The sequence below is a fragment of the Homo sapiens genome, chromosome 1 (genome assembly GCF_000001405.40).
Source record: "Homo sapiens chromosome 1, GRCh38.p14 Primary Assembly".
NCBI lineage: Eukaryota > Metazoa > Chordata > Mammalia > Primates > Hominidae > Homo > Homo sapiens.
The window spans coordinates 214,598,016-214,616,397 of NC_000001.11; the positions used below are offsets into that span (position 1 = coordinate 214,598,016).

Consider the following 18,382-nt stretch of genomic DNA (forward strand, 5'->3'; position numbering starts at 1 on the left):
TCCAGATATATGAGAAATCATAGAAGATAACAACTCAGTAAAAATATAGGAAAAGATTTTAAGACACTTTACAAAAGAAAATCTATAAACAGCCAATAAGCACATCAGAAGATGTTCAACATCATTGGTCATCAGAGAAATAAAACTAAGTTCACTGTGAGATAACAGTCACATCAATTAGATTGGCATAAATTGAAAAGACAGACACACCATGTGTTGGTGGGGATGTGGATCAGCTAGAACACTCATACATCATGGGAATGTAAGATATTGAAAAGGATTTTGGACATTTCTTAAAAAGTTAAATATCCACTTACTATTTGTTGTTTTGTTTTGTTTTGTTTTGTTTTTGAGATGGAGTTTCACTCTTTTTTGCACAGGCTGGGGTGCAGTGGCACAATCTTGGCTCACTGCAACCTCCGCCTACCAGGTTCAAGCGATTCTCCTGCCTCAGACTACGGAGTAGCTGGGATTACAGGTGCGCCCTACCACGCCAGGCTAATTTTTGTATTTTTAGTAGAGACGGGGTTTCACCATGTTGGCCAGGCTGGTCTTGAACTCCTGACCTCAAGTGATCTGCCCGCCTCGGCCTCCCAAAGTGTTGGGATTCCATGTGTGAGCCACCACACCCGGCCCCCACTTACTTATTTGACCCAGCAATTTCACTTTATGTGTTTCCCAGGATAAATGAAACCTATGTCAATGCAAAGACTTGTACATAAAAGTCCATAGAAGCTTTATTCATAAAAGCTTCAAGCTGGAAACAACATAAATACAAATCAACAGGTGAACGGATAAACCAATTGTATATCCATGCAAAGAAATACTACTAAGAAATTAAAAAAACACAGTCATGTGCAACAACAAGGATATGTCTCTAAAACATTATGCTGAGTAAAAGAAACAGACATAAGGCCGGGCACGGTGGCTCATGCCTGTAATCCCAGCACTTTGGGAGGCCGAGGCGGGCGGATCACGAGGTCAGGAGTTTGAGACCATCCTGGCTAACACGGTGAAACCCCGTCTCTACTAAAAATACAAAAAAAATTAGCCAGGCGTGGTGGTGGGTGCCTGTAGTCCCAGCTACTAGGGAGGTCGAGGCAGAAGAATGGCATGAACCTGGGAGGCGGAGCTTGCAAGGAGCCTAGATCGCGCCACTGCACTCCAGCCTGGGCGACAGAGTGAGACTCCGTCTCAAAAAAAAAAAAAAAAAAAAAGAAACAGACATAAAAGAGTACACACTGTAATTCCACTTCTACGAAACTCTAGGAAAATATGAATTTAATGTGTAAGTGACAGAAAACAGATCAATGGTTGCTTGTGTCTGGGAATTTTTGGGGTGCATAACTGGGAAGGGGTATAAAGATACTTGTAATATCAAGAAATGTTTATATTCTTACTTTGGTGGTATTAATAGAGGTGAATATATTTGTCAAAATGTATTGCACTGTACACTTAAAATGAGTGTATTTTATCTTATGTAACGTCTATCTTTTTAAAGTTTTTTTTTTTTTTTTTTTTTTTTTTTTGAGACCTAGTCTCACTCTGTCGCCCAAGCTGGAGTGCAGTGGTGCGATCTTGGTTCACTGCAACCTCCGCCTCCCAGGTTCAGGCGATTCTCCTATCTCGCCCTCCCGAGTAGCTGTGGGACTACAGGCGTGTGCCACCACACCAGGCTGATTTTTTTTTATTTTTAGTAGAGACGGGGTTTCACCATGTTAGCCAGGATGGTCTCGATATCCTGACCTCGTGATCTGCCCGCCTCGGCCTCCCAAAGTGCTGGGATTACAGGAGTGAGCCACTGCGCCCGGCCCTAAAGTTTTTTTTTTGTTTTGTTTTGTTTTAAAGATAACAGATTTTCAGCCAGGTGCGGTGGCTCACATCTGTAATCTCAGCACTTTGAGAGGCCGAGGCCGGCAGATCACGAAGTCAAGAGATCGAGACCATCCTGGCCAACATGGTGAAACCCTGTCTCTACTAAAAATACAAAAATTAGCTGGGCGTGGTGGCGTGCGCCTGACGTCGCAGCTACTCAGGAGGCTGAGGCAGGAGAATCACTTGAACCTGGGAGGCAGAGGTTGCAGTGAGCCGAGATTTGCCACTGCACTCCAGCCTGGCGACGCAGCAAAACTGTCTCAAAAAAAAAAGGATACAGATTTTCAGGCCGGGCACAGTGGCTCACACCTGTAATCCCAGCACTTTGGGGGCTGAGGCTGGTGGGTCACTTGAGGTGAGGAGTTCGAGACCAGCCTGGCCAACATGGTGAAACCTCGTTTCTACTAACAATACAAAAATTAGCTGGGCGTGGTGGTGCGTGCCTGTAATCTCATTTACTCGGGTGGCTGAGGCAGGAGAATCGCTTGAACCCGGGAGACAGAGGTTGCAGTGAGCCGAGATTGTGCTACTGCACTCCAGCCTGGGTGACGGAGCCAGACTCCATCTCAAGGAAAGAAAAGAAAATTTCAGAATAGATAAAAAAATAAAATCGTGTAATTATAAAATATTTACAGTTCTAATAAGATGAAAAATAATATGAAATGAAAAGTAAACTGCTGCTTAAAATAATAGATTATATTGTCTTCATGATGCAGCTATAGAGACGGCTCTCATTTATTGAAAGTACTCGTGGGGTTTTTTTGGAGAAAAATAATTGATGAAAAGTAGTATCGCAACTTATTTAATCAAATCTGAAAAGGAAATGGAATGTGAGGGGAGATATGATGATTCCTTCAGGGGATCATGAGATTGAGAAAATATTTCTCTTTAAAGGGAAATATTTGAGCAGTTTAAGTGCTACTAGGAAGACTTAGGAAGGTAGAAGCAGTTAAAGATTCTTGTTTACAAGTGCATAACTGGGAGAGTGAAGTTCCTGAGAAGCAAGTTGCCTCAAAACACAGTATGATTGTTCAGTTTTAGGAGTAGTCAGAAAGACATTTCCCATGGTTGTAACAGGAAGAAAGGAGGTAAGAATGGGTATAGATTTTCACACATTTGTAGATTTGGGTCTCAGAAAGTTGAAGGTGTTCCTGTCAGAAATCTTATGTTTTCTGTGAACTAGAAAATAAAGTCATCTTCTGAGAGTAAGAATGGAGATGGTTGTTGCAGCGGATTAGAGAAATCCTGAAACTGGGAGAAAGGGCTGTGGAGCAGCATTGAGGCCCAGCTAGACATCCTACATTTAAAGTATTTGCACAGTGCTGGGATTTTTTTCCAGCCCCATTCTGCAGCAATAGTGCACCAAGGGATGATATGGACATTTGCACACATACAAGTTTGGGAGATAGAACAAGAGGCAAGGGAGTTGAGGACACTGGCAAAAGAGTGATTTCAGTGATGAACCTGCAGTCTAATCTGTAGAAAAGATGGGAAGACTCAAAGACACTGGTCCACAAGCAGAATATCGAGGTAGTGGATGAACAATCCAGAGAGAGTAGACTGGCTAACTGAGGGAAAGGACTTAAAAAGAGAAGAGCAGAGAGCCAAAAATGGACCCTTAGAGAACATCTGTCTTTGGTTGGACGGGATCCTCCCCCTACAAAACAAACAAACCAACCGGGGGAAAAATAAAGGGAGGGGAAGGGAAGCATAAAATTAAAGTCAGAGAAATATCACAGGAGTTACTAGAATGGTATCCATCCTATTTCCCTTGTTCAAGAAATGAATGTATTTCTTTATTGTTCATTGTAGAAAAACGAAGCACAAGGCTTGACTATACAGTGGCCACTCAATAGATATCTGCTGAAGAACGAATGAATGAATAGTAAATGCAAATTTCTTATTCAAACCTTAAAAATATCCTCTATTATCTGTCTTTCTAGCTGTTTATTTTTCCTTAAACAGCCTATACATAGTTGAATAATTACTCTGGGAAGCAATGGAATTGTAATTTGTGTTGAAGCCAGACACAATTTGGTTCAAATTCTAAAACTACCAGACACTAGACTGATCATGGCAATGTCTGACAAAAGTTTTCCTCCCCTACCTGCTCTCTCCCCTCCCTTTGGGGATTCGAAGGTAGAAGATAGTAAGAACAAGGCCTTTCCCCAAATAGCAGTTTTATCTCCCAAGATGATCTGGATTTTAAATTACTATGTGCAAAGTTACTAGGGATGCAAAAATGAATTAAAACAGATTTTACTGTAAAGGAATTTTTGAGTCTGATGGGGGAGTCAGACGTAGACATAAATACAAGACAAGACACGGCGAAAATCCTAAACATGAAGTTTGCAAGTTCCAGGAAAGGTCTAGGAAATAATTATCTCTAAGGAGTGGGTGGGATTAGGGAGGTTTTATAAAAAAAGTGACACTTGAATTGGGTACTGCAGGAACAGTCTAATGAAAGGTAAAGTCAGGGGGCTGGAAAGTTTGGTACCTATTGAGGCAGACAACAGCATTAGAGATCTATTACTTTAACAATTAATTGTTTTGCTTCTGCCTTTAGAAGCTTATTTATAGTTTAATAGGGAAATAAAACGAGTATATAACATACATAGAAAACTAGTGGGCTTCACGAAAAGCATTACACCCCGTTTTGAGGATTCTTCTGAATTTTAAATTCTGATGCAGTGTCCTCCCCCCACGCCTTAATCCCGGAAAATAAGTGTTCAGAATCACGTCTTAGAAATATGAACCATAAAGGACAGCATTTAAGAGCGACATCCTGCATTGCGTAGATTCAATTTCAAATTACTGTACTTAGCTTCTATGAGCCTGTTAACTTTTTAATAAAATGAGGATAATACTTTCCTCAAAGAATTGTTAAGAACGACACCGGATAAAGAATGCATGACAAACACAGCACCTAGTATCTATGTCCTAAATTTACGTTTAATTAAGTAGATTGGTACGTGCAGTTTAAAAGAGGTTTCACCAGGCAGCACAGTTCCCCTGGCTGTAGGCGATAGACCACGCCTTCCTAATCAGCGGGCGCATTCCCTGACTTTTGCGGAAATAGCGGTCCAAAACCGCGTCTAGCATTAGCAAAAGCACGTGGTCTCCGTCTCCCCGCAACAACAAAAAAGAACAGTAAACTCCGGCGCAGGCACCTCCAGTAGAGGGCTTGTTTTTAAAATCCATCCGAAAGGGCCAATCAGACGCGGCAGTCTGAGTGCGCAGGCGCGGATTGGTCCGCAGCTACTTAGAGTGACCAATAGGCGTGGAGGTAAGTTTGGTTGAGACCAGAAGCGGGCGAATTGGGCACCGGTGGCGGCTGCGGGCAGTTTGAATTAGACTCTGGGCTCCAGCCCGCCGAAGCCGCGCCAGAACTGTACTCTCCGAGAGGTCGTTTTCCCGTCCCCGAGAGCAAGGTGAGCGTCCTGACTGGGTCCGGATCCTGGCCCTGGCGGCGGGCGGTAGGCGGCGGGCGGCGTGGGGGTGCCGCTGGCTTTTTGCCGGCGGGTACTGGGCGGGGAGGCCTCTGGGATCACTCTCCCGGCCCTGTAGGTGCCGGGGACCGCCCCCTCCCACCCGACCGAACTGGAGAATCCGCCCCGGGATGTGGTTCGTAGGGGTGTCTGCGCCCTTCTGCTCGGGTTCAAACTGGTCTCGGATTAGTGTCCCAGACCCTACTCGGTCACGGACTCACACTTTAGGGGATCATTTTCTTCCTCCGTAAAAGAATTGGAGATGACTAGGTATTTCCAAGCCGCCTTCCCAGTCCCGTAACCAACCTTATTGAAATTCAGGCCCTGGTCCTTTGTTTTATTGAGTAGATGTAAGCTTGAGTTTTGATCTGGTTGGCGACGTGGGGTGCCTATGGTTAGTTACGCGAGCATTTCTCTTTCCCCTCTCTTCTTCCTCCCGTCCACATTTTTTTTTTTCTTTTTTTAAATAGAGATAGGCCTCCCTATATTGCCTAGGCTGGTCTGGAACCCCTGGGCTCAAGGGATCCTCCCGCCTTGGCCTCTGTAAGTGCCAGGATTACAAGCATGAGCCACTACGCCCGGTCCTCCCTTCCACATTTATTTGAACGCGCCTGTGTGCCCGGCTCGGCTGTGTAATGAGGACCCAGAAATAAAAGGCATGGGTCGTGTCCTTGAGCCTGACCTAGAGGAGAAGGCAGGGTTATCATTCTCAGACCCAGCCTTGGTACAGTGCACGGGGACTCTGGCTTTTTGGAGGAGGTGGGGAATTCTGACAACGGGAAAGCAGTGGTGGAGGTGGGGCAGGAGGAGGTCACACAAGAGCTTCCTTGGGGACTAAGGGACTGGGTAGTTCGGGCATGAAGAGTGCCCTCCACGTATTTAAGAGATAAAGATACAGCATTTTCTGGAAAGGACAATAGTCCTGCAAGTCCTCCATGCAGGAACCTTCATCCAGGGCTTTTCTTCACTCCCCACCTCGATTCCCTGTTCCTCAAAAGTAAACTTCTGGGTTTATTTTTTTGTTCTTTTGCCCCAATGGCCCAATACAGGTGGCTGATAGCTGATCCCTTAATGGGCCAAAATCTGCTCTAATCACAGTTAGCTTGGTCTACATCTATATTGTTCTCTATCTTAGACTTTGGAATGGAAAAGCATTCAGCTTGCCAGTCTTCTTTATGTTTATTCCCCTCATTTTCTAATCATCTTTCTAAATTGCTCCTTTTTATATTCTGTTGGCTATAGCATCTTGATGTAATGATTTCAGTTGCTGGCTGAATTGTTTAGGGCAATTACAGTTGTGTGTCTCTGGGTACAGTTCTTTGACTCCTGACAAACTAGATTGGAATGGAGGATATTGAGACAGGGTCAGTTGTCCTTTGTTGGTTGAGAGGCATGTGACTCCTTTCAGTAGTTTTGGGATAAATGGGAGTGGAATACAAGATGCTGTGTTCCAAGAACTGAGAGCTAGAAAAAAAAACAAAACTGGTAGCAAAACACAGCTTTCCAGGGCTTTGATATCCAACTTATATGTTGTCTAAGACCTTTGCTTCTCCCTCTTAATTTTTTTTATTGTTCTTAGTACTTTCATGAACTGCTTATTGTTTTGATAAAAAGTTTCATTGATAAAATCGATTGAAAAAAACCATTAAAATGGCCGTTAACTTTATTTAGTAAAAAAACAAATTCTCAAACTCTTGCCTAAGTAACTGGAAAATGAATGATTTTTCTTTTTGTTTATGTTCTGAAGGCTAAAATAAAGGAAAGTTGCTATATTTTCTTCCAGCTGATTTCTATTTCCTAAGATGTGGCTGAGAAGGAGGTAGGCCACTTCACCCTTTGTACCATAGGCTGAAATATACAAGTGAAAAAGTGTTTTTAAAAAGTATGTAATAGCTAACATATATGGAAAGCTTACCAGGAAAGCTTACTGTTTCTAAGGCCTTAGGAAGTCACCATCATTATTATCCTCATTTTACAAACAAGGGAAACAAGGCATAGAGCAGCTAAATAACTTGCCCAAGGTCATACATCCGTAAGTGCCTGAGCTAGAAGAATCCGCTTTGTTTTTTTTTTTTTTTAAATTTTAAATCTTTAATTTCTGTTTTCACGTATTTTCTTCTTGCTTCCAAAAGGAAAGGAGTGCGTAGCTCTGTTGCCTGTACATCGTCCACAGCCCCTGGGTTGGAGCGGGGTCCCCTGGGCCGCCCGGGGGTCCACATGCAGCCCCTGGGGGGCCGGCGCGGGGTGAGGTCCGGGGGCTGCCTTATTGCTGAGGTCTGGCCGGTTGGTGCCGCCGCTAGGCGAGCTGGCTGGCAGCTCCTGGGAGATGAAGCGACGCAGGCCCTCCAGGTACTGGCTGTAGAGCTCGATGTCGTTGTGCCTGGTGCCCTCCACCCACAGCGGCTCCACCGCCTTGGGGCAGCGCTCGTAGAGCGCCAGCCCGTGCGAGAAGTCGATCACCTCGTCCTCCGTGCCGTGGATGATGAGCACGGGCGACGTGATCTTGGACACCTTCTCGATGTTAGGGAAGGCGTCGAAGCAGTAGGTCTTCTTGGTGTCGGGGAAGGCGACGCGCATGCCCGAGGTGAGCGGCGAATGCAGCACCACCGCGGCACACTCGTAGCGCGAGGCCAGGTCCACGGTGGGCACCGTGCCGATGCTCTGCCCGTACAGGATGATGCTGTCCGGGCTGATGCCGTACCTGGAGGCGCCGGAGCAGGGTCAGCCGCGGCCTCCGACGCGCGCGCACCCTTCCCGCCAGCGGGCGTCCCCGGGCCCAGCTCCGGATGCGACCCTCCAGTCTCCCCACTCAGCCAAGTCAGTGGGTCAGGCCCAGGCTCCACACCAGTCCCGAGGGCCACCCCCAGCCCTCAACACCGCGGCGGTGGGCGAAGCCAGCGGCCCCACCCCGTTCCCTGGCGCTGCCGTTCCCTGGCGTTTCCTAGCTAGGATCTGTAGGGATCCCGCCTACGGAGTGGCCCTGGGGCGGAGGTAGGGGAGGCCCTGGCGCCTCTCCTCCTGATCACCCCTAGGTGCACACTGGGAACTGTGTGCCCCCCACATCCTGAATGCTTCACGCCTTCCTGCCCGGGTTAGAAAGCCGTTCCTGGTGCACTGGCCAGGACAGCGGACACTCTTCCTCCCTGCAGCCCTTGCCCACCCCCTTGGCCATGAGGAATTCAGGCAGCTGTGTCCCCAAATGTCTCCACCCAATTTTGGACTCTCGGAGTCCCCACGCCCAATGAGATGCCAGTGCAACCCAGGTCAGCATCGAGGGTCGTGGCTGCGGAGGTGGCACCCCCTCCCACCAGCACCTTCCCTTGGGAGTGGACAAGTCCTCGGCCACCTCAGCATCACCAGCTCCCACCCAGGGCCACCCCCACCCCCAGGTCACTGGTGTGCAGCCCGTGACCCAGCTGATCCAGCACCAGTTACAAGGCCTCCTCGTGCCCAGTCCCAACCACGCGGGACCCACCTGCCACCCTGCCCATGCCGGGACCCCACAACTCTCCTCCCACACGCTCCAGGCTCTGATCCCAGGCAGATGCCCTCTTGCAAGGCAGGAGCATGGGCAGGTGTGCGTCCCCTCTGCCTGGCATTCGGACTCCACCAGCAGGGCTGTCCCCCTCCCTGGCCTGGAATCCCAGCCTCCTGGCAGCACTCCACAGCTCGCCACTCACCCATGCCCCAAAGGATGCTGCCTGGCTTGTGCCTGTGGCCCCAGCTCTGCCTTAGCCTCCCTGGCCTGCTCCCTGGCAGCCATGGTCAGTAGTGTGCTGAGCCAGCCCAGCCCTGTCACCTGCTACCAGGCAGGAGCCCCCAGCTGCCACCTGGATGTCACCACTCAAACGAACAGGACACATCCCCAGTGGAGGCCCTGGGCATGCTCTGGCCTCCCCCTCACAGCTCTGGGCCTAGGTTCCTGCAGGACAAAGTGGCAGCAGGACAGATGGCCGAGCAGACAGAGCTCAGAGCTGGCCATGGCGGGTGTGACTCTGCCAGTGGCCCAGGCAGTAGAGACAGGAGGGGCCGAGGAAGTCGCATGAAGTGGTTGGTGTCAGCGCCCCACACTGCTGGGAGGCCCCTGGAGCCAGGGTGGTGCCAGGGGACCAGCTCCCAGGCCCACAGCAGGGACTGCCTGCAATATCACCAAGGCAACGAGGACCCCACCTCCCCAGGGCCTCTGACTTCTCAGAGCTATGCCTGGTCCCTGCGGGAGCAGGTCAGACCAGTGGGCTGGGCAGGGCCAGGACGAGACAGCCCCAGTGGATGGCGAGCAGGAAAGGTCACCAGAGGCCCACCCGGGTCTCCTCATCCAAAGCAGCACTGGCCCGGGCGGTGCTCAAACACCAGTGAAGGCCCCAGGCAAGCGCAGGGCTGGGGACCTGGATGACTAGGAGGGCTGGATCTGGAATGGAGGCTGGCCCAGACCTTGGATGTGTGCTGGGGGTCTGCACCTGACCCTGCAGGCCCTGCCCCAGGATGGCCAAGCTCCGCAGCCACAGGGCCTCATGGGCCAGGCCTCGGGACCTGGATGCAGCAGCCTCGCCTCACTTGGCCCCAAGTGCTGCCTCGGCCGATGGGGCCCCAGCCACACGTGCACAGACCCCCAGACACCACCCACTCCCTCCCGCCGGGTGGCATCCACGCCCCTGTGACAAGCTCAGCCCCTTCCCGTCCTCAGGCCAGGGGTTCCCAGGGAGCCTGGCTCCACAGGCCAGGGTGTGGAAGGACCGCCTGGCCACACCTCAGCCATGTGGAGGCTGCACCTGCACACCCAAGCTCGCCTGTCCGGCTCTCTGGCCCTGTGCATCCACTGTGGCTCCCCTCCTGCAGAGCCGCCCACCTTCCTCCCAGGGAAGCCCGCCCCCCGGCCCCCGGCCTGGTCCCCTCTTGGGTGTGCCCAGGCTGAGCTGCCCCCAGGGTTGCCCTCACCTGGTGCGCAGGGCCTGCCAGGCGGCGTCGATGTCGGCATAGAGGTTCCTCTCGGAAGGCCTACCCGAGCTGGCACCGTAGCCGGAGTAGTCGTAGGAGAAGATGTTGCAATGGAGGCGGGAGCCCAGGCCAATGTAGAAGCTGCTCATCTGGCCCAGGTCCACGGCATTGCTGTGCGAGAAGAGGACCGTGTACCTGGCACCAGTCACGCAGCGAACATACATGCAGGAGACGCGGTTGCGGCGGGCGCTCTTGGTGGGGAAGACCTCAATGGTGTCCAGCTCGCGCTGGCTGTACTGGAAGTCGGCGCGCTCCGTCAGGTGCAGCTTCCAGCGCCCGGGTGCGCCCGAGGAGGCCCGCAGGGTCCCCAAGGGGGCGGCCCCGGCCCCACCAGGCCCCGGCTCGGGCTCAGTCACCAAGGAATAGGTGGCCTCCGGCGGCAGGAAGGCGAGCTTGGCAGCGATGCGGCCGGGGCAGGGCGGGCAGCAGAAGAGGCAGCAGAGCTCACTCAGCGACAGCCCGTTCATGGCGGGCGCCGCCCGGGCCAGGCCCCCACCGGGGCCCCAGCCAACAACGCCGCCCGGCCTGGCCCGGCAGGGGAGGGGTGGGGGTGCTCCGAGTCGCGGGCAGGGGGGAGGGCGCCCCCCCAGCTACGGCCCCAGACGGCAGCCCCGTTAGGAGGCCAGGGCCCAGCCCCATCGCGGTCCAAGCCGAGCCCCAGGGAGCCTCGCAACCACAGGTCTCCATGTCACGCCGTGGGAAGCCCACCCCGGCCCGCGCCCCTGGGCCCCAGGGCCGCACTCCATGGCGCCTGGCCGCCTGCCCGTGCGTCCGTCGGTCCCTCCGCGCCCCGGCCGGCCTCCTGCATCGCCACCGCCGCAGCTCCCCCCGAAGAATCCGCTTTGAATCTCTAAGGTTGTACTGTATATGTCTTTCCTGGTCAGTGTCTGTCTGGAGCATGACTTTACCACCTTTTGCAGTGATTCTAGTACTAATACGGCATTCACTCTTCATTCATGCATGCATTCATTATTAAAAAATGATAACTGCTTGGAAGGAGATGGGCTACCTGTGCTGTGAGTAACTATGATGGGAAACTATGGCCGGGTCAGGGATCTCAGAAAAGTTTCCCAGAGGAAGAGGGACAAAGTGTGAGTGGTAATTAACCATGTGAAGAGGGAAAGAGGAGCATATGCAGAATATCTTGTCATGCATTTTCTTTGTTTATAGGACCTATTTCACCTGAAAACCTTATGGCAAAATATTATTTTTTTCTTAGCTTTTATTTTTGGTTCAGGGGTACACATGCAGGTTTGTTTTACAGGTAGACTCATGTCATGGGGGATTGTTGTACAGATTATTTTGTTGCCCAGGTACTAAGCCTAATACTCAATAGTTATTTTTTCTTCTGCTCTTCCTCCTCCAACTCTCCACCCTCAAGGAGGCCTCAGTGTCTGTTGTTCCCTTCTTTGTGTTCATTTGGTTTTCTGTTCTTGCATTAGTTTGCTAAGGATAATGGCCTCTAATTCCATCCATGTTCCTGCAAAAAACCATGATCTCATTCTTTTTTATGGCTGCATAGTATTCCATGGTATATGTGTACTACATTTTGTTTATCCAATCTGTCACTGATGGGCATTTAGATTGATTGCATGTCTTTGCTATTGTGAACAGTGCTGCAATGAACATTTGTGTGTGCATGTGCCTTTTTTTTTTTTTTTTTTGGTAGATAAGGGATTTTGCCATGTTGCCCAGGCTGGTCTCGAACTCCTGAGCTCAAGTTATCCACCTGCCTTGGCCTCCCAAAGTGTTGGGATTACAGGCATGAGCCACTGTGCCTGGCCATGCATGTGTCTTTATGGCTGAATGATTTATATTCCTCTGGGTATATACCCAGGAATGAGATTGCTGGGTTGAATGGTAGTTCTGTTTTTAGCTCTTTGAGGAATTGCCATACTGCTTTCCACAATGGTTGAACTAATTTGCACTCCCACCAAAAGTGTATAAGTGTTCCCTTCTCAACTTGGCCAGCATCTGTTATTTTTTAACTTTTTAATCATAGCCATTCTGACTGGTGTGAGATGGTATTTCATTGTGGTTTTAATTTGCATTTCTCTAATGATAGTGATATTGAGCTTTTTTTCATATGCTTGTTAGCCACATGTATTTTTTTTTTTTTTTTAGAAAAGTGTTCATGTCCTTTGCCTACTTTTTAATGGGGTTGTTGTTTTTCTCTTGTAAATTTAAGTTCCTTATAGATGCTGGATATTAGACCTTTATCAGATGCATAGTTTGTAAATATTTTCTCCCATTCTTTAGGTTGTCTTTTTACTCTGTTGAGTTTCTTTTGCTGTGCAGAAGCTCTTCAGTTTAATTAGATCTCATTTGTCAATTTTTGCTTTTGTTGTGATTGCTCTTAGTGTCTTTGTCATGAAATATTTGCCCATTCCTGTGTCCGGGATGGTATTGCCTAGGTTGTCTTCTGTGGTTTTTATAGTTTGGGGTTTTACATTTAAGTCTTTAATCCATCTTGAATTAATTTTTGTATATGGTGTAAGGAGGGGGTCCAGTTTCATTCTTCTGCATATGGCTAGCCAGCTATCTCATCATTTATTGAATAGGGAATCCTTTCCCCATTGTTTGTTTTTGTCAGCTTTGTCAAAGATCAGATGGTTGTAGGTGTGCGGCTTATTTCTGGGCTCTCTATTATGTTCCATTGGTCTATGTGTCTGATTTTGTACTAGTACCATGCTGTTTTGGTTACTGTAGCCCTGTAGTATAGTTTGAAGTAGGGTAACATGTTGCTGTCAGCTTTGTTCTTTTTGCTTAGGCTTGTCTTGGCTATTTGGGCTTATTTTTGGTTCCATATCAATTTTAAAATAGTTTTTTCTAGTTCTGTGAACAATGTCTTTGGTAGTTTGATAGGAATAGCATTGAATATGCAAATTGCTTTGGGCAGTATGGCCATTTCAATGATACTGATTCTTCATATTCATGAGCATGGGATGTTTTTCCATTTGTGTCACTCTGATTTCTTTGAGCAGTGTTTTCTAATTCTTTTTTTTTTTGAGATGGAGTTTCGCTCTTTGTTGCCCAGGATGGAGTGCAGTGGTGCGATCTCAGCTCACTGCAACCTCTGCCTCCCAAGTTCAAGTGATTCTCCTGTCTCAGCCTCCTGAGTAGCTGGGATTACAGGCGTCTGCCACCACACCCAGCTAATCTTTGTATTTTTAGTAGAGATGGGGTTTCACCATGTTGGCCAGGCTGGTCTTGAACTCCTGACCTCAGGTGATCTGCCCGCCTCAGCCTCCCAAAGTGCTGGGATTACAGGCGTGAGCCACTGAGCCCAGCCTTCTAATTCTTATTGTACAGATCTTTCACCTCCCTGGTTAGCTGTATTTCTAGGTGATTTATTCATATTGTGGCAATCGTGAATGAGATTGCATTTTTGATTTGGATCTTGGCTTGGCTGTTGTCAGTGTATAGGAATGCTAGTGATTTTTGTATATTGATTTTCGTATCCTGAGAGTTGGCTGAAGTTGTTTATCAACTGAAGGAGCTTTTGGGCCAAGACTATGGGGTTTTCTAGATGTAGGATCATGTTGTCTGCAAACAGGGGTAGTTTGACTTCCTCTCTTCCTATTTGGATGCCTTTTATTTCTTCCTCTTGCCTGGTTGCTCTGGCCAGGACTTCCAATAGTATGTTGAATAGGAGTAGTGGAAGAGGGCCTCCTTGCCAGTTTTCAAGGGGGGAATGCTTTCAGCTTTTGCCCATTCAGTATGATGTTGGCTGTGGGTTTGTCATAGATGGCTCTTATTATTTTGAGGTATGTTCCTTCAATACCTAATTTATTGAGAGTTTTTAACGTGAAGGGATGTTGAATTTTTAATGAAAGCTTTTCTGCATGAGATAATCATGTCATTTTTGTCTTTAGTTATGCTTATGTGATGAATCATATTTATTGATTTGCGTATGTTGAACCAACCGTAAATCCTGGCGATGAAGCCTACTTGATTATGGTGGATTAGCTTTTTGATGTGTTGCTGGACTTGGTTTGCAAGTATATTTTTGAGGAATTTTGCATCGTTGATCAAGGATATTGGCTTGAAGTTTTCTTTTTTTGTTGGGTCTCTGCCAGGTTTTGGTATCAGGATGATGCTGGCCTCATAGAATGAGTTGAGGAGGCGTCCCTCCTCCTTAATTTTTTTGGAAACCAGGGGTACAGACAAAGTACCCTGTACACCCAACAGTAATCCCACAGGAGAAGGCAGAGGCCCCAGGCCATTTAATCAGCAGCAAGGTGATTATGTGATATGTCTTTTCACAGTTGAGTTAGATGTACTCCACCAGTTATGATGGGAATCAATTTAAATATACTTTCTTGATCCCAGAAATTCAAGTATGTGGACAGGATGTTACACATGGCAGGATGATTGTTACAGCGCAACTAACATATTTCAAATGGACAAAAAATTAGTATAATTTACAGTATCTTAAGATAAATTTCCTTTGAATGGGAGCTTCCTTTCTAGTCCTTTGAGGTCTACAAGGCATATCTAGAAAATTTACTACTGTGGAAGATGAAGACTGTTTAAATTGAATGGGGGGCAGGAAGGGGAAGGGCCTATGGTTTTTCTTTTTGATTAACTGCTGTAACCCTGTCCTTCAGGCAGCTGAAGGAGTGTCACATTTTCTTTAGACATCATTAGGCACCAAAGCTCTTGTAGGACAACTTTGATGCTACATGAATTCTGCCATTTTGCTAGCACTGATATGGCTTTTTGGTCCACCACTCCATTACAACTATTAACCCTATTTATATTAATTTTTGTTACAAATCTTACAAAGGCAGGGTGCTTCTGGGCATTTAGGATACATTCTATTTTAAGGCTGTATACTTGATTTTCGTAAATCATTCTTGGAGGCCCAATTATCATCCCTGTCCATCTTGTCCCAGGTCTTCATCATCTTCTAAACACCAGCTAACTATGCCACCTCCTACCTTTTTCTGGCCTTCTTCGAGTTCTTCCATCAGTTGGAAACTTCGAGAGACTTTTACTCCTGATCCTGTGGTGACTGCCATCTTGCATCACTGTTGCCCCATGTTTTGTATAATGAAAAAACTGAGCAATAGAAAGCAGGTAGTGATATAAGAAGTCAACACCGAGAAATAAGAAAAACAGAAAGCAAAGGGAAACTAAGCAGGACAGTATGTACTTCAGAATCAATTATTGGTTGCCACCTTTCAGAGGATGGAGAAGATAGGTATTATACTTTGTTATCTTTTGAAATGTGGTCTTGAAACTTGATTTTTAGGGGTGGTTAGATAGATTCATTAATTTCTGAGACTTTGTTTCCTTTTACTGTGGTAAGACCAACAGTCTGGTTATTCTTTTCAGTTTATTTACAAATGTTGGAGTAATAAAGAAGGCAGAACAAAATGAGCTGGGCTTTGGAAGAATGGAAAGAAGGGCTGCCTACAAGAGCTCTTCAGAAAATTCAAGAGCTTGAAGGACAGCTTGACAAACTGAAGAAGGAAAAGCAGCAAAGGCAGTTTCAGCTTGACAGTCTCGAGGCTGCGCTGCAGAAGCAAAAACAGAAGGTACCCCTGAAGCTCTGGTATTTGTAGCTGTTCACTCATTATTGACAGAGAAGTGCTGGTATTTAAAACTGTTCACTCATTTTTGGATTAATTATTTCATCTTCTTTACATTTAGAGAAAAATGATTTTGCTGTCTTCAGGTGGTAATTCCTCTCCCCTCCCCCACCCCCACCCCAGGCCCCAATCCCCTTCTTTTTTTTTTTTTGAGTCATTTTTATTTTAATTGCTTTTAATTTTCCCCATTTCTGTCCTCATTTCTGCTTACCTGCTAATATTTAGGGCTATTGAGTTCCATTTCAACTTCCATGTGGGACCATGAATTGGAGATTGCTTTTGCACTGCATAGCAACAAGGCAAAAGGTGTCTGCTCCTAATCTGGGGACAGTATTAGAGCATTTTGCAGTTAAATGGTTGTGGCTTTCTTAGACTGGGCTTTTTACCTTGGTATTCCTCAACCTTTTCAGGTCTAGAAAATGAAAACTAAACAGTACTTTTTAAAAATTACCTCTCTATTAGCCAACTAAATAGTGATACAGTCATTGCTTCTAAAAGGATTTTGCTTGTGGGAGAATTTTCTGGTTTCTAACAATAACTGGTTTTAGCAGCCAAACTTGAAAATGAATTGTTAAGGGAGATTTATAGGATTTATTTCCTATTTTTTAATTTTTGAAAGGATAGTAAAGACTCCCTTTCTAGGATGGGTGTGTCTGGCCAAAGATGATATACTACATGGCTTCAAAGAAGTTTCCTATCTATTGGCTTCAAAGTGTGATCATCTAAAATTTCTGTGTTCATATGGCTTATTGCAGCTGTATCTCAGGAATTTAGTAGTCAATGTTAGACTCAGGTTTACCAATAATACTTGGTAAATTCACAAAATAAGGGAGTTATTGTCTTCTGAACAATTCTCATTAGGTTGAAAATGAAAAAACCGAGGGTACAAACCTGAAAAGGGAGAATCAAAGATTGATGGAAATATGTGAAAGTCTGGAGAAAACTAAGCAGAAGATTTCTCATGAACTTCAAGTCAAGGAGTCACAAGTGAATTTCCAGGAAGGACAACTGAATTCAGGCAAAAAACAAATAGAAAAACTGGAACAGGAACTTAAAAGGTAATATTTTGGGATGGTATTTATAGGGATGATATTTGTATGTATTAATCAGATGCGTTTGTCTTTTCCTTTAACAATATAATTATTATACTTTGCAATTTTTTTTCCTGGTAGAATAAGTAATGATTCGGTCTCTGTACCGTAACTTGAAAGAGTGGAAGATTAAAAACAAACAAACAGTGATTTGGTTTTATCATTGCATAGCTCAGTACGATATAAATTTATCAAATGTTTGCTGCATTACTCATGTATTCATTCAGTATATGTTTATTAAGCTGTACCATGATTCAGACACTATTGGTCACTGAGTAATACAATAATAAATAGTACTATCATACTATCAAATTGATAGTATGATAATACTAGTTACATAGCATTATTTGATAGTATGATAGTACTTGTTAAAATAAAACTATCGACAGCTGTTACCGAAAAGATGGAAATTAGTTGAAGCATACTGATGGCTCGTGTTTTCTCTGGGTGGAAAAGCTGCTGTAGAGAATGAGAGGGAGAACTAGGGAATTATAAAAGGACGGAATAGCATGGAGGGCCCAGTTGAGATTGGAGACAGAATATAAGCAGGCCCAATCTGCAAGGTTGTGTGATAATTTAAAAAATGTTTCCTTTTGGCTGGGCTAGGTGGCTCATGCCTGTAATCCCAGCACTTTAGGAGGCCGAGGCAAGTGGATTACCTGAGGTCAGGAGTTTGAGACCAGCATGGCCAACATGGTGAAACCCCCTCTCTACTAAAAATACAAAAATTAGCGAGGTGTAGTGGCGGGCACCTCTAATCTCAGCTACTCAGGAGGCTGAGGCAGGAGAATCGCTTGAACCTGGGAGGTGGAAGTTGCAGTGAGCCGAGTTCGTGCCATATCCTTATAGCACATTTGGTTTTAAAATATTCTTCTTATCTAGTAGACTACAAAAACTACTGAATATGGTTTTAAAATTTACACTGCTAACTTCCAAATGCATTGCAGAAACTTATTTTTTCCATCAGTTGTCACTGATTAGGTTTCTGGAAGGTCTCCAACAAGTGAGGTTGAACCGTTTGGAATGTTTGTTAAAACTGTGGAGATTGGCAATCTCATATAGTTCAACCTAGTAGAAGATGCTTTTAGCTTTGTAGTGCTTTTTTGATGATGGTGTTTGTGTTTTTCTTCTTAGGGGGAAGAAGAAAAAATGGTTTATGAAAATAATAGCAGGGTATACTTTTGTTTAAGTAATAAATAACTTTGTTTAAAATGAAAGGATAGGGAAAAGAGAATAAGATACGAATTTAAAGTGGAAAAGAAACACTGGTTTTGCAAGATTCTTCAAAATTCACCTCGAATCAGCAGATTTGTGACATCTTTGCTAATCTGTAGAC

At 46.3% G+C, this 18,382-nt stretch overlaps 1 protein-coding gene and 2 pseudogenes across 3 annotated transcripts in view, besides 2 other annotated features; 1 reads left to right on the forward strand and 2 right to left on the reverse strand.

Annotated features, from left to right (window-relative positions):
* Positions 5,074-5,283: a silencer, noted in NCBI's record as "silent region_1815". NCBI's record gives its function as "represses an Ori minimal core promoter by ATAC-STARR-seq in GM12878 lymphoblastoid cells {active_cell/tissue: GM12878}" and the evidence as "EXISTENCE:reporter gene assay evidence [ECO:0000049][PMID:35858748]".
* The window catches only part of CENPF (centromere protein F), a 61,377-nt gene continuing 48,174 nt past the window's right edge, over positions 5,180-18,382 (forward strand). For 2 of the 3 annotated variants that reach the window (NM_016343.4, XM_011509082.4), the window contains exons 1-3: positions 5,180-5,306; positions 15,699-15,901; positions 16,817-17,013. In NM_016343.4, the coding sequence (NP_057427.3) occupies positions 15,740-15,901; positions 16,817-17,013 (359 nt within the window). In that variant the 5' untranslated portion in view covers positions 5,180-5,306; positions 15,699-15,739. Of the gene's footprint in view, positions 5,307-12,004; positions 15,565-15,698; positions 15,902-16,816; positions 17,014-18,382 lie in introns of those variants that run through there. The other variant, XM_017000086.3, reaches the window with a different exon arrangement.
* On the reverse strand, positions 7,442-11,188 carry ABHD17AP3 (ABHD17A pseudogene 3; annotated as a pseudogene).
* On the reverse strand, positions 14,746-15,398 carry UBE2V1P13 (UBE2V1 pseudogene 13; annotated as a pseudogene).
* Positions 16,804-18,003: an enhancer, noted in NCBI's record as "BRD4-independent group 4 enhancer chr1:214788162-214789361 (GRCh37/hg19 assembly coordinates)". NCBI's record gives its function as "activates an origin of replication core promoter dependent on BRD2, P300/CBP, MED14 and CDK7 cofactors, and independent of BRD4, by STARR-seq in HCT116 cells {active_cell/tissue: HCT116}" and the evidence as "EXISTENCE:reporter gene assay evidence [ECO:0000049][PMID:35650434]".